At 41.4% G+C, this 13,509-nt stretch overlaps 1 long non-coding RNA gene across 1 annotated transcript in view, besides 4 other annotated features; it reads left to right on the top strand.

Moving 5' to 3' along the window:
- Window positions 8,855-9,417: an enhancer, noted in NCBI's record as "H3K27ac-H3K4me1 hESC enhancer chr10:33269180-33269742 (GRCh37/hg19 assembly coordinates)". NCBI's record gives its function as "activates a minimal SCP1, AML or CMV promoter by ChIP-STARR-seq in naive and primed H9 embryonic stem cells {active_cell/tissue: H9 hESC(naive and primed)}" and the evidence as "EXISTENCE:reporter gene assay evidence [ECO:0000049][PMID:30033119]".
- Window positions 9,176-9,225: an enhancer, noted in NCBI's record as "active region_3251". NCBI's record gives its function as "activates an Ori minimal core promoter by ATAC-STARR-seq in GM12878 lymphoblastoid cells {active_cell/tissue: GM12878}" and the evidence as "EXISTENCE:reporter gene assay evidence [ECO:0000049][PMID:35858748]".
- Window positions 9,276-9,365: an enhancer, noted in NCBI's record as "active region_3252". NCBI's record gives its function as "activates an Ori minimal core promoter by ATAC-STARR-seq in GM12878 lymphoblastoid cells {active_cell/tissue: GM12878}" and the evidence as "EXISTENCE:reporter gene assay evidence [ECO:0000049][PMID:35858748]".
- Window positions 9,418-9,980: an enhancer, noted in NCBI's record as "H3K27ac-H3K4me1 hESC enhancer chr10:33269743-33270305 (GRCh37/hg19 assembly coordinates)". NCBI's record gives its function as "activates a minimal SCP1, AML or CMV promoter by ChIP-STARR-seq in primed H9 embryonic stem cells {active_cell/tissue: H9 hESC(primed)}" and the evidence as "EXISTENCE:reporter gene assay evidence [ECO:0000049][PMID:30033119]".
- Window positions 11,154-13,509, top strand: part of ITGB1-DT (ITGB1 divergent transcript) — a 99,552-nt gene continuing 97,196 nt past the window's right edge. Inside the window, exon 1 of the long non-coding RNA NR_184020.1 lies at window positions 11,154-11,288. This is a non-coding gene — a long non-coding RNA (ITGB1 divergent transcript). The remainder of the gene's footprint in view (window positions 11,289-13,509) is intronic.

Raw genomic sequence — 13,509 nt, forward strand, 5'->3', positions numbered from 1 at the left:
GTTCTTATGGATAGTAAATTAAATGAGACAATATCTGTAATGCAAAAATTAACTGAAATACTAGATGTTATAAAATGATGGTGCTAGTACATATTTTAACTCCTTTCCTTTAAAATACCTTGGGATACCACCAACTTGAGCACCTTGGGTCAGTCTCGCTGGCCTGATTGGGCAGTGACAATTACCCCGGGGCCTTGGTCAGTAACCTTAACACTCAAGACGTTGTTATTTTCTCTGTTGTGTCATTACTGACGGGCTGGTTGGAGCCTTCTAAGAATGCTCTCTATAGCACTAACCCCTATAAAACAGTTAGACCTGTTTAACTTGGTGATGAGAGTTCAGAGAAGAACCACAGAGATCAAAGGGCAAAAGAGTAAAAGCTAAGAGAAAAAACTAAAGCCAGTGGACTGACTGAGCCAGGACGGTTGAGAGCTGGTTGCTGATAAGAGCCTTCACATTCTACTGGGCTATTACTATGTAAAGTAAAGCCACTCAACCGTTTTCACTTTGGCACTGAAAAATATTCAATCTGCCAAGGTGCACCTGGGGACCCACACCCTGCTGATTAAAATTGGCATGGGAGGAGCAGGTCTTTAAAGAGACTACACTTGAATTTCATCAAGAAGCTAAAAATAGGATAGAGGAGCAATATAGAAGACAGGAAAACATTAAATTAGGAGTCTAACAGTAGTTGTTGCTGTTTGAAACCAGCCTAAGTTGTGAGGGAAATTTGATTTTCAGAGGAATTAGAAATCACTGGTTGACATTCACAGTTTAGCAGCTACAATTTTCACTAGTCTTAAGCAACTGCAGTAGAAACTGGAGTAATTGGTATCTTTGCTGAGGCATGATCAGGAGTTCTGCAGATGGGTGCTCAGGATCGAGTTAGTAAGCAGACATCTAAAAACAGCCTGAATGTTTTCCTTTAATCACTGAAAACAGCAACTTGAAAAAAAGGCAAAAAGCATTATTTTTGTGAAAAATCCCCCACATCTAGAGGAAAAAAAGTTGAATTTTGGTGCCTGTGATGAGAATAATTTAAAAATGATAGTTCTGATACAGAAAATGGAAGTTTACAACAAATTAAATATCGAAAGGTAAAATTGTTAGTGTGTGTGCGAGGGAGAGAGGTAGTTCTGCAGGGAAGCAAGGAACAGAGAGTGAAATCATTCAAGTGAGAGATAAAGCTTTAGGGATGGTTCATCAGGTGGTGATTGTATGTCTCTGTACAGAAAACACCAGACACTTGAGGAAAATGAAATGCATTTAGACCACTTTGTCAATGTCAAGTATCTGCAGCGAGGGTGAGGCCAGTGTTCAGTTCTTCCGCTTCACAGTGGAGGAAATGAGGATAAACCCAACCCTTGAATTCTGTTTGAAGAAAACAAAGAATTGTTGAATAGCAATGAGTCTCTGAAGTTTTGGAATAATCATCTCTGGAGATCTTTACAAACAGGCTAGAGTCTTATTTGCCACTCAATAGTTAATTCAAACTTTAAGCCTGAGGAACATGTAAAATGATTTCTCATCCTGCCCAGGACTTTTTGATTTTCAGAAATATATATGCTCTTTACCTTGGGTTATTAAGGAGAAATATTTTTGCTAGCACTAGGCTGGCAGAGCAGAATGTACCTTTTGTCAGATGTTCCAAGAAACATTTAATAATATTACTTGGCATAAAAGATTACATATAGTTGAGGCCACAGCTTTTTTCACAGGATGACTCATCTAAAACAGGCCTACAATGTAAATTAGTAGCAGCACCTCAAGCATAGTAAAAGTCTTGCAGGTGGTCAATCAGGATATATGCAAAAATAGGTGGGAAGGAAATAACTTTTGCTGTTATCCCATTTTGATTAGATTCTAATGTTATCAGTGTCAGGTTGAATACTTGCCCTTCATTTTAAAATTTTGAACTTACTATAACTCATTGAAAATACATTTATTTTTCCTTTTTTTCTGCATATCTAAATCTTACTGTCATTTATATAATAAGAAAATATTGGCCAGGAGCAGTGGCTCACACCTGTAATCCCAACACTTCGGGAGGCTGAGTTGGGAGGATCACTTGAGCCTAGGAGTTCAGACCACTTGGGGCAACATAGTGAGACCTCGTCTCTGCAAAAAAATTTAAGTATTAGCTGGGTGTGGTGCTGCATGCCATCAATCCCAGCTACTCGGGAGACTGAGGTGATCCTTTGAGCCCAGGAGCTCTGGACTGCAGTGAGCTATGATGGCGCCACTGCACTCCAACCTGGGTGACAGAGGGAGACCCTGTCTTGGAAAAAAAAAAGAAAAGAAAGACAGTATTGCAACCATTTACAAGTAGAGTTGCAGCTTAGGTTTGAGCTTGCTGCATTATCAGTGTAGAATTAAAAACATTTTTCAGGTCAGGCGTGGTGGCTCAAGCCTGTAATCCCAGTGCTTTGGGAGGCTGAGGCAGGCGGATCACCTGAGGTCAGGAGTTCGAGACCAGCCTCAACATGGAGAAACCCTGTCTCTACTTAAAAAATACAAAATTAGCCAGGCGTGGTGGTGCATGTCTGTAATCCCAGCTACTCGGGAGGCTGAGGCAGGAGAATTACTTGAACCTGGGAGGCGGAGGTTGTGGTGAGCTGAGATTGCGCCATTGTACTCCAGACTGGGCAACAAGAGCGAAATTCCGTCTCAAAAAAAAAAAATTTCAAATCCAAATTTCATTATAAAATATTTTATTGTGGGTAGTGTTTTCCTAGTATACATTGATATACAATTCCAAACTGTTTTAGCTCATTAGTCCCCAGCATTTCTAGTTATGCATAAAATTCTTTAAAAAATCTTTCATGGATATTATTGTTTGTTCACTTAGAAAGTGTAATCTTCAGTATCATTCTAGTTGTTTTTCTTCTTGAGAGGACTTCTGGACTAGAAATATGTACTAATCACTCTTCTGTTTCCTGATTATGAACCTTGGAAGGGCAGAGAAGTTGTCCCAAAGTGAGACTGGGAAGGGGGAAATGAGTATATGAGCCATCCCAAAGACAGGAAACGAAAATGACAGGTAAACTGAAGGCAGGGATGACATCTAGGATGGCTCAAAAGCTAAACAACAGGAGATCTTTCTCCAAGAAAGGACCAAAGGAAAAGCATGAGTTTTTAAAGAGTTATTTAGACTTCAAGTCTGTGGTTATGGCTTCAGAACTACCCAAGCACATGTTAGGACCTTGCTAAGCCCTTTCCACACATTATCTCATTAAATCTTCAAGGTAGACCTTGCCAACCCCATTTTATTTTATTATTTTTTAACTATTTTTTTTGTAGAGACAGGGTTTCACTATTTCATCCACGCAGGTCTTGAATTCCTGGGCTCAAGTGATCCTCTCACCTTGGCCTCCCAAAGTGCTGGGATTACAGGCGTGAGCCACTGCACCCAGCCACCAACCTGATTTTAGAGAAAAATTTCAACCCACATATGTGCGGCTGAAAGCTCCTACTCGTAACCACTTTAGCTTCTTACCTGCTGGCTGCCTTATTCTTTTCTTGTGCTACCTTCCATGTCGTTTCTTTACTGTTCTTTTTCCTCTATTCCAGTTGCTTTAGAAGGTAGAACTTTTCTTCCTTCAGATCTACACCACTACTTTTATGTACCCTCTGATAATGAAACTGATGTTGCCAATTCAACTAGTAGAAAACGATCAATTCTAGGATATGTTTCATTGTTTTAGACCACATAACCTGTCAATGTATTGATATTTCTTCTCATTGAATTGACTCGTATTGTCTTTTTATTTGACTTTCACATCTTTTTCCTCTAACAGTTTATTTCTATTTGAGGTTTTTGAAATGCACCCATAGTCCCATAGATAGTTCTTATCATTATTTTTTGTAATATAAACATAGAAATTGACCCTTCTGTTCTTAAAGCTTGAAACTTGTATTTGTTTTATCTGCATTCCTTCCCCAAGAAATGACTGTCAGGCCTGGCAAAAAAAAAAAAAAAAAAAAAAAAAAAAAAAGTACCAAAGAACTAGAACTCCCCAGATCACCACATCCAGACAATGGGATAGATGCGGACCCCTCACTCATCATGATTGCTTCCTTGCCCCTTCTGAGTTCCTATTTTCTTACACATTGTTACATTTCTTCTCTGCTATATAAACCCCTAGTTTTAGCCAGTGGGGGAGATGGATTTGAGACTGAGCTTCCATCTCCTTGGCTGCAACACCCGATTAAATCCTTCTTCCTTGGCAACTCTTCTCTCAGTCGTTGGCTTTCTGTGCCCATAGCAGCAGGACCTAGACCAAACCCTTGGTGTTTTGGTTACAATTTCCTATAGAAGTTTTTTCAGGTGCTTCAAATTTGACAGATATTATCTTTCGGATCTTTTTCAGTGTTGTAGTTTTCCCTATCACAGCTGAAAACTTAAATACTATTTATAGCAGGATTCGTTGTTCTCTGATATACTTTACAGAAAATGTTTTTAATACTGATTATTGGGTATAGTTTGATATACACTTAAATTTGGTATGAATCTGGATTCTGAGAACTTTTACTCATGCCTCATGCTGTTTTCATGAGGTGATTTTTTTTTTTTTTTTTTTTTTGAGACAGAGTTTCACTCCTGTCGCCCAGGCTGGAGTGCAATGGCGTGATCTCAGCTCACTGCAACCTCTGCCTCCCGGCTTCAAGCAATTCTCCTGCCTCAGCCTCCCAAGTAGCTGGGATTACAGGTGTGTGCTACCATGCCCGGCTAATTTTTGTATTATTAGTAGAGATGGGGTTTCACCATGTTGACCAGGCTGGTCTCGAACTTCTGACCTCAGGTGATCTGTCCACCTCGACCTCCCAAAGTGCTGGGATTACAGGTGTGAGCCACCACACCCGGCCTATGAGGTGATTTTTGCTGATAATTTTGAGGCTATCACTCAGGGTTAGAGTAATTAGACACACCTTAGTGATATTTGCTATCTTCCTTTTTTATGTTTTGTTGGTGCTTTAGTTGCAGCTCATGCCAAAATCAATTAAATACCATGAGCAGGGAAACCCTTCCTGTTTCATGTCAGCACCATGATTTAAAAACTTAGATGCTCGTACAGCCTTTGTATATTGCCTGAAGGATGCTGACATTCACTGTGATGCAGCTGCACTTCCTGACAACCCATCACTGTCTATTACATGAATCATTCCGATGGGTGTCATTACAGGGCATCACTGTGCCCTCTTCTAGCCTTGTAGGGACCTCTATTCATCTCACTCTAGAAGCCAAATGGATGCCAATGCAGTAATAGCACTGTTATTAAATAGGCTACTTAAGCAGTATTTTCTCAATTTAATTTGACCGTGCTTTACAGGGAGAGTTACAATCCTGAGCCACAATTAAAATCCTGATCATAAGGTACTCACTTTTTTTAGACGGGCATATTAATGTTACTGCTTATTTTTAGTGGCGTTCTAGGGTCATGCATATACTGCGCAAAATAGAACAGCGGGCTGAGAGTTCAGAATGTGCAGGGCTTTGGGATGACTTGTGGCTTGGCCCAGGCTAGTCACTTACCCCTTTTAAGACATCACTGAAAAAAACGGGAGTTCTGGGATATGTCTCCCAAGGGAACAACTGAGCTTCCCAATGGGGTGGGCAGAAAATTAACCTAGGTGGAACTCATCTATGAATACTTGAGTGTCTACTTCTTACAAATCTGTCTCTTTGTCCCTGTTTCTGACATAGGCATCCTAAGGGGCTCTAATTTCTCAGCGTTCACAATATACTAGACACGTAATGTAATAAGCAATCTATTTATATTATTTCACTTGATTTTTGACAACCATCACATGAAATAAATATTAGGATCCAAGATTATAAATTAGGAAACATAGGAAGCAAAAGCTTAGAGTAATGACATTCAAAGTGTGATCTAAAAGCTGTTAACAATCCACAAATTGGGTTCGGTGTATACTGCTCGGGTGATGGGTGCACCAAAATCTCACAAATCACCGTTAAAAAACTTACTCATGGAACCAAATGGCATGCATTCTCTTTCTTTCTTTTTTTTTTTTGAGACGAAGTCTCCCTCTGTCGCCAGGCTGGAGTGCAACGGCGTGATCTCAGCTCACTGCAGCTTCCGACTCCCTGGTTCAAGTGATTCTCCTGCCTTAGCCTCCTGAGTAGCTGGGATTACAGGCATGCACCACCATGCCCAGGTAATTTTTGCATTTTTAGTAGAGACAGGGTTTCACCGTGTTGGCCAGGATGGTCTCGAACTCCTGACCTCATGATCCACCCACCTTGGCCTCCCAAAGTGCTGGGATTACAGGCATGAGCCGCCGCACCCGACCCACCCATTCTATTTCTAAAAAACAAAAGAAAAAAAAAAGCTGTTAACAGTCCACAATGAATTTAGAACAAAACTTGAGAGTATTGAGGAATATTTATAGCAATTTGGCATTGCTAAGATATTTTTATTGCATTTTGCAAAAGTATTGGTCCATAACAGATGGGAAATAGCAAGAAAGGAAGAACAGAAGAAGTGAAGGAAGGAGAAAAAAGCAGGGACAAAGGTTAAAAAAAAAAAAACAAACCCTGATCTTTCACTGTAGACAGCTTGAGAAACAGGGGCTTAAACCTTTAATGATGAGTCCAAGTTCCACATCAAGCACATTCCAGAACCAAGATTTACATCCTATCCTGGCTTCAAACCCTTGCTCTTTAGCATACCACTCTATTACCTACTTGATAACAGTGATGATAAGTCAAGAAAGAAATAAAACAGCAATTTGATGACTATCATTATCCTCTAAAGATTCAGGAACTCAAACTTCAAAATTTGGGAGACTAAAATAAGAAGAGAGTTTATACCTAAGTCAAGATTCTGGCCTACAACCATCATCATTATTTATTTATTTATTTATTTATTTATTTATTTATTTATTTAAATTATACTTTAAGTTCTAGGGTACATGTGCACAATGTGCAGTTTTGTTATATAGGTATACTGTGCTATGTTGGTTTGCTGTACCCATTAACTCGTCATCTACATTAGGTATTTCTCCTAATGCTATCCCTCCCCCAGCCCTCCACCCAATGACAGGCCCCAGTGTGTGATGTTTCCCGCCCTGTGTCCAGGTGTTCTCATTGTTCAATTCCCACCTGTGAGTGAGAACATGCAGTGTTTGGTTTTCTGTCCTTGCGATAGTTTTCTCAGAATGATGGTTTCCAGCTTCATCCATGTCCCTGCAAAGGACATGAACTCATCCTTTTTAATGGCTGCATAGTATTCCATGGTGCATATGTGCCACATTTTCTTAATCCAGTCTATCATTGGTGGACATTTGGGTTGGTTCCAAGTCTTTGCTATTGTGAATAGTGCTGCAATAAACATACGTGTGCATGTGTCTTTATAGTAGCAGGATTTATAATTCTCTGGGTATATACCCAGTAATGGGATGGCTGGGTCAAATGGTATTTCTAGTTCTAGATCCTTGAGGAATCACCACACTGTCTTCCACAATGGTTGAACTAGTTTACACTCCCACCAACAATATAAAAGCGTTCCTATTTCTCCACATCCTCTCCAGCATCTGTTGTTTCCTGACTTTTTAATGATCACCATTCTAACTGGTGTGAGATGATATCTCATTGTGGTTTTGAGTTTCAACATCTTTTTGACTGTCATTATCATGGTTAACATTAATTGGGAGCTAAGACCCAAAAATTGTCCATGTGCTTCAAATGAATTATCCTATAATCCCCAGGATAACCGAGTGAGGCAGTGATGATTTGGCTTTGTAGCATCGGAGCCAGGATGCAAATCGAGTGTGCTGGACACCAAGCCCTTAACCACTAGGTTATAATTTTCCCATCTGTAATCCATGATAGAGTCACAAGAAGGTTTGGCAAGGCACTAGAATTTATTCATTAATACCAGATGCTGGGTTTGAATTTCATTCTAGAGCTGTGTGATCTTGGACCTGTTACTTAACCTCTCTGTGTTTCAGTTATCACTGTAAAATGGGCAGAACAAGACCAGCCTCAAAGGTTTATGGCAAGAATTTAATTTTTAAAAATGCATATTTGCACAGTGCTTGGCACATAGATAGTACTCCATAAATGGTAGCTACTGGTAATATTAAAATAATAAATCAGTAGTTTTTAGATTAACTCCAGAGTAAAAAAAAAGTGGCATTTGATAGTTTGTGGATTTTGATCCTCAATCATAGATTTTACTAAACTTTGCTTTTCACATTAATGTGTGGCTTTAAGGGGTTCTTTTATATTATGGAAGAGTGAAATTAACTTAATTCTTCCTATTTGCTATGATGCCACACTATTTCAAATATTCCCACTTAATTAAATTGCTGCTCCTTTAAATATTAAAATATGAAGACTTCAATAAACATTTGGAAGGTCTTAATTCGGGGAAAGGAAACCATCATTTATGTGCGTTTCATTAATTATCAAGATTACCAAGATTTATGATTTGCATTTTAAGAATGTAAGTTCCAGGCCAGGCGCGGTGGCTCACGCCTATAATCTCAGCACTTTGGGAGGCAGAGGTGGGCGGATCACTTGGGGCCAGGAGTTCGAGACCAGCTTGGCCAATATGCTGAAACCCCATTTCTACTAAAAATACAAAAATTACCCGGTCGTGGTAGCACACGCCTGTAATCGCAGCTACTAGGGAGGCTGAGGTAGGAGAATTGCTTGAACCCGGGAGGTGGAGGTTGCAGTGAGCCGAGATCGTGCCAGTGCACTCCAGCCTGGGTGACACAGCAAGACTCCGTCTCAAAAAAAAAAAAAATTAAAAAAGAATATAAGTTTCAGAAAGCAAGAATATTTGCTTGTTTTGTTCCACAATGCCTAAAACGGTGTCTAGTGCTTAGTAGGTAGTCAATGTATCTGTTGAATAAATGCATCTTATTGGATAACTCAGTCAGAGCAATGCATTCTTCTTTGAATTGGATTTAAGTTTGCCTTTTTAAAAATGTATCTTTTTTAGAAAATTAACGTTTGCTCTTTCTCTGCTAAGAAAAATCAGCTTTACTACACTGGAGGTGGGACCGAGGGAAGGAAACAAAGGCATTCTGTATTCACCTGCATGAAGCAGAAAAGCCAGCCCGAAGCTACTGGCTGAGCTTCTGCCCTAGGTGCGTCTCCTGCGTGCAGCGTTGCTGCAAGGCCTGGCAGCTTCTAGGAGCCTACACCTCTGTCATCGCCTTCGGGGAGGGATAGGGCTAGGAGCTCTGTGCGGAACCGCGTCCAGCCGCCGACTCACTGACACATCACAATGAGTCACGTGCTCTGTGCACCGGGCGGATTTGTCAGATCCGCTGCTGCATCACGGCTCGGCAGGGCTCTCTGGGTTCTCAGTGCCCTCCTAGGTCTGCAATGCAGTGCGGGAGAGGAGGAATATGGGCTTGTGGGGGCAGGGGCAGCGCCCGGACTCCTCCCGGGGCAGGACTCCCAGAAACGCAGGAAGCGATGACGCTGCTCAGATAAACCCTGGCGCTCTGCGCTGGCGTCCTGGTCAGGAGCTCCTCTGCCACGGACGCGCCTGCCGTTTCTGCCTTCGTTATCTATTTACTGACCTCTCATCTCCCCAGAAGATGTTCTCAGTTCTCAGCAGTCAGTGCTTCTCCTCCAGCTTCACTGACCTTTCTATGGGGGTAATAAACTAAAGAAAGAAGTCGATGTTTGAGTAGATAAAATGTGTTATGCCAGTGCCCTGGGAATCCGATACAGCTGGCCCAGGAGGGGCCTGGGGTTCTGCTTTGTTTTGTCTTCAGATAGTGTCTAGCTCTCTTGTCAGGCTGGAGTGCAGTGGCGAGCCTAGCTCACTGCAGCCTCTACCTCCCCGGCTCTAGTGATCTTCCTGCCTCAGCCTCCCGATTAGCTGCAACTACAGGTGCCTGCCACTGCGCCCGGAAATATTTCTTACAGGGGTCTTGCTGTGTTGCCCAGGCTGGTCTCAAACTCTTGGACTCCGGGGATCCTCCCACATCGGCCTACAGAGTAGCTGGGATTACAGATGTGCCACCGTGCCCAGCTATGTCTATTCTTGAAGGCTGTCCATGTCATTTCCATGGGCAGCCAGGTTTCCCTGTCACCAGACTAGATGATTTCCAAGAGCCCTTCCCACTCTAAAATTCTATGAACAATGATATTTTTTTCCCAACCTAGTCCCTTTGAGCCAAGAAAGGAACTCATTTATTGTATTAATTTAGACAAACCTACAAAGGTAGAAAGATTCTTATAATTTTATTTCCTTAAAAATGAAATGTTTATATGCTTGTTTTTAAAGCAGGGTCACCTGGGAAAGTACAGAGCTGTTTACACTTAAATTCCCATTTGTAAGGGGGATATTCTATCCCTCAACTTCCAAAGTGAACAAAGTCCTAATTCGGAGCCCATTGCTCTGCGGCCTCTCATGCCCTGGTAGGGCCAGGACCCCAGGGAATAGGATCTGGCCGCTGGGTCAGCAATGTTTGAAGGCTCCCATTTTATTTGCAGCCACAGCCAGCCAAGTTCACTGTGAGCAGCACTTCCTGCCTTGTTTGTGAGCTGCAGGCTGCATCAGGAAATAAAGTTTGTAAAATTACATTCTCTGGCTAAGCCTAGCCCTTTGTTGAAATAGCCACATTATCTATGACGACAGTGACAAGGCCAAAGGTGAGAAAATCTACATGAATTATTCTCTCAAAAGGATTCAGATAAGGGCAGAAAAGACCAGATGTTTCCTTTCTAAGTGACAAAGGGCTTGAGAATAAAAGGTAGGAAGAACAACTTGAAAGATTCACTTGGGCTTCTTTCTCACTACCTAAGAATATTACTAAGTTCCCTAAAAGCATTGCACCCCTGGATTCTAGTCTGTTTTATTTTTTTGAGATAGGGTCTTGCTCTGTCTCCTAGGCTGGAGTGCAGTGGCATGATCACAGCACACTGCTGCCTCGAACTCCTAGGTTCAAGTGATCCTCTCACCTTGGCCTCCCAAAATTCTGGGGGTACAAGCATGAGTCACCGTGCCTGGCCATCCCTGGATTCTAGATCTGGGCCTGGCACATAATAGATATTCAGTAAATATTAAACAGATGTATGAATCAGACAGTCCTGGTCGTCTACGTATCTTTATCTACTGAGAGTTTTGTGGGTTTTTTTGTTTATTTTTTTGAGACAGAATCTCACTCTGTAGTCACCCAGGCTGGAATGCAGTGGTGCGATCTTGGCTCACTGCAACCTCCACCTCCCAGATGCAAGCGATTCTTGTGCCTCAGCCTCCCGAGTAGCTGGGATTAAAGGCATGCGCCACCACGCCCAGGTAATTTTTGTATTTTTATTACAGACAGGGTTTTGCCATGTTGGTCAGACTGGTCTCGAACTCCTGGCCTTAAGTGATCTGCCTACTGAGAGCTAATTCAAGAAAAACTACTAAATTATAAGCTCCTGAAGGCAGAGATTGGGTCCTTATAGGACCTGGCAAAATTATCAGCAAAGGTTTCTTGAAATGAATTTGCCAAGAGCTCTTCTAGACAGGGGGAAAGTGAGGAGACATAAAAGCTAATAATAAAGATTGGAAAAGGACATATGTATGTATTGGACAAATCTAGCATTTCTTGAAAATTCATGTATTGATTCACTGATGACATATAAGCAAAGTTAAAGTCATCTTCAACCGTAAATGTTAATACTTATTCAGTAAGAGAAACAGCATGACTCAAGTCAATGGATTTAGGGACATTAATTTGGCAGTTTTAGGGCAAAATTCTAAGTGGTTGATGATAGTGAAAAATTGAATTGCCTTAAATGCCTAACAGTAGGGAACTTGTTAAATAAACTTGATGCTTTCATGCAATTATGTTTTCAGATAAAATCATGTTTTCAAAAACTATATATGGACATGGAGAAATTTAAATTTAAGTCAAAAAGATATGGTGGCAGAAACTGTTGACTTCCTACCCACACCACTTCCCTTCTCCTTCCTAACACCTCTTAATTTTGGTGGGCTTTCTATTCTCTGCACAGCAGTGTGCTTCAGGGGAGGCAGTCACCAGCCCTGCCCTGGGGAGTGAATCATCAGTGAGTGGTGAATGTGAATTCCCCTGGCTAGTGATCTTCTGAGTCCGGGGAGTATAATTCATTCCAGGCCAGTGAGGTGGATGAGAGTGGAGAGGCTTCTGGAAAAGCTTTCCTCTATCTTTAAAAGCAGGAAACAAAGTCATGCTTCCATTAAATGTTAGGAAAAGCTTCCCTCTATCTTTAAAAGCAGGAAACAAAGTCATGCTTCCATTAAATGTTAGACTCTACATGTGATAAAGCCACCATGCAGCCAGGCCTGAGGCTGAGCTGACAGGCCTGGGAATGTGGAAAAATGCAAAGGCCCCAGCTGATTGATCTGCTGATCTGTTGACTTATTAGCCTTGGAGGCTGCAGGTCAGTGACCAAGAGCCAGTTCAACAAACACCCACCCACTGCAAATCAGTTTCCACTACGGCTGATTTGCTGGATTTACTCGCTTCTTTTAACTATTTAGATATTGTTGACTGATTTTCATTTTGTCTTCATAAAAGCATTTAAGGAATATTAAAATTGTCTCAATTCTAGTTCCTTGTTGAGTAACTGAAGACTGACTTTTGATGAGTTGTCCAGCTAAATAACTCATCTTATTTCCAAACTTATTATGTGAGCTAATTTTTTCTTATAGTTTAAACCAATTGCATATTGAGTCCAGGTTTTCTCTTAATTACCACTAGAAGTATACTAATGGGATACATGTAGAATAAGAGAGAGAGAGAAATTGGGGGGAGGGGAGAGAGAGAAAGAATGAATTATTTCTGGGTTGTAGGATTGGGAATATAGCTGATTTATGCCTTTACTGTATATTCATCTTTGTATTTCTCTATTTTCTAAATTTTCTGTAATGAACATATATTGCTATTATGAACAAAGTGGAAAGTTGTTTGTTTTGAGACAGAGTCTTGCTCTGTTGCCCAGGCTGGAGTGCTGTTGCTCAACCTGGACTCACTGCAACCTCCACCTCCCTGGTTCAAGTGATTCTCATGCCTTAGCCTCCTGAGTAGCTGGGATTACGTGCGTGCCACCACACCCAGCTAATTTTTGTATTTTTAAGTAGAGACAGGATTTTGCCATGTTGCCCAGGCTGGTCTCAAACTCCTGGCCTCAAGGGATTCGTCCTCCTCAGCTTCCCAAAGTGCTGGGATTACAGGCGTGAGCCACGGTACCCAGCCCTGAAAGTTGTTCTTAAAAACTGGTTTGAGGGCTATAAAAGGTATGAGTGCTAATCTCAGAGGATTGTAGAATCATTGAGAATTGACATCTAGAGCTTAATAAAGTGGTGGCTGGGCTGGTGAGGCTACACAAACAAGGAGCAATTGAATCAATTCTAGAAGACTGAGTATGCGTAGGATGAGTAGGAAGAGGTGAGGCTTAGGACCTCTCGATCCATTGTTTGTGTTTGGTAGGGGAGGACTGAAAGGCCATATTTACAATATTTAGGCCAGGCTTGGTGGCTCATGCCTGTA

The sequence above is a fragment of the Homo sapiens genome, chromosome 10 (genome assembly GCF_000001405.40).
Source record: "Homo sapiens chromosome 10, GRCh38.p14 Primary Assembly".
Lineage (NCBI taxonomy): Eukaryota > Metazoa > Chordata > Mammalia > Primates > Hominidae > Homo > Homo sapiens.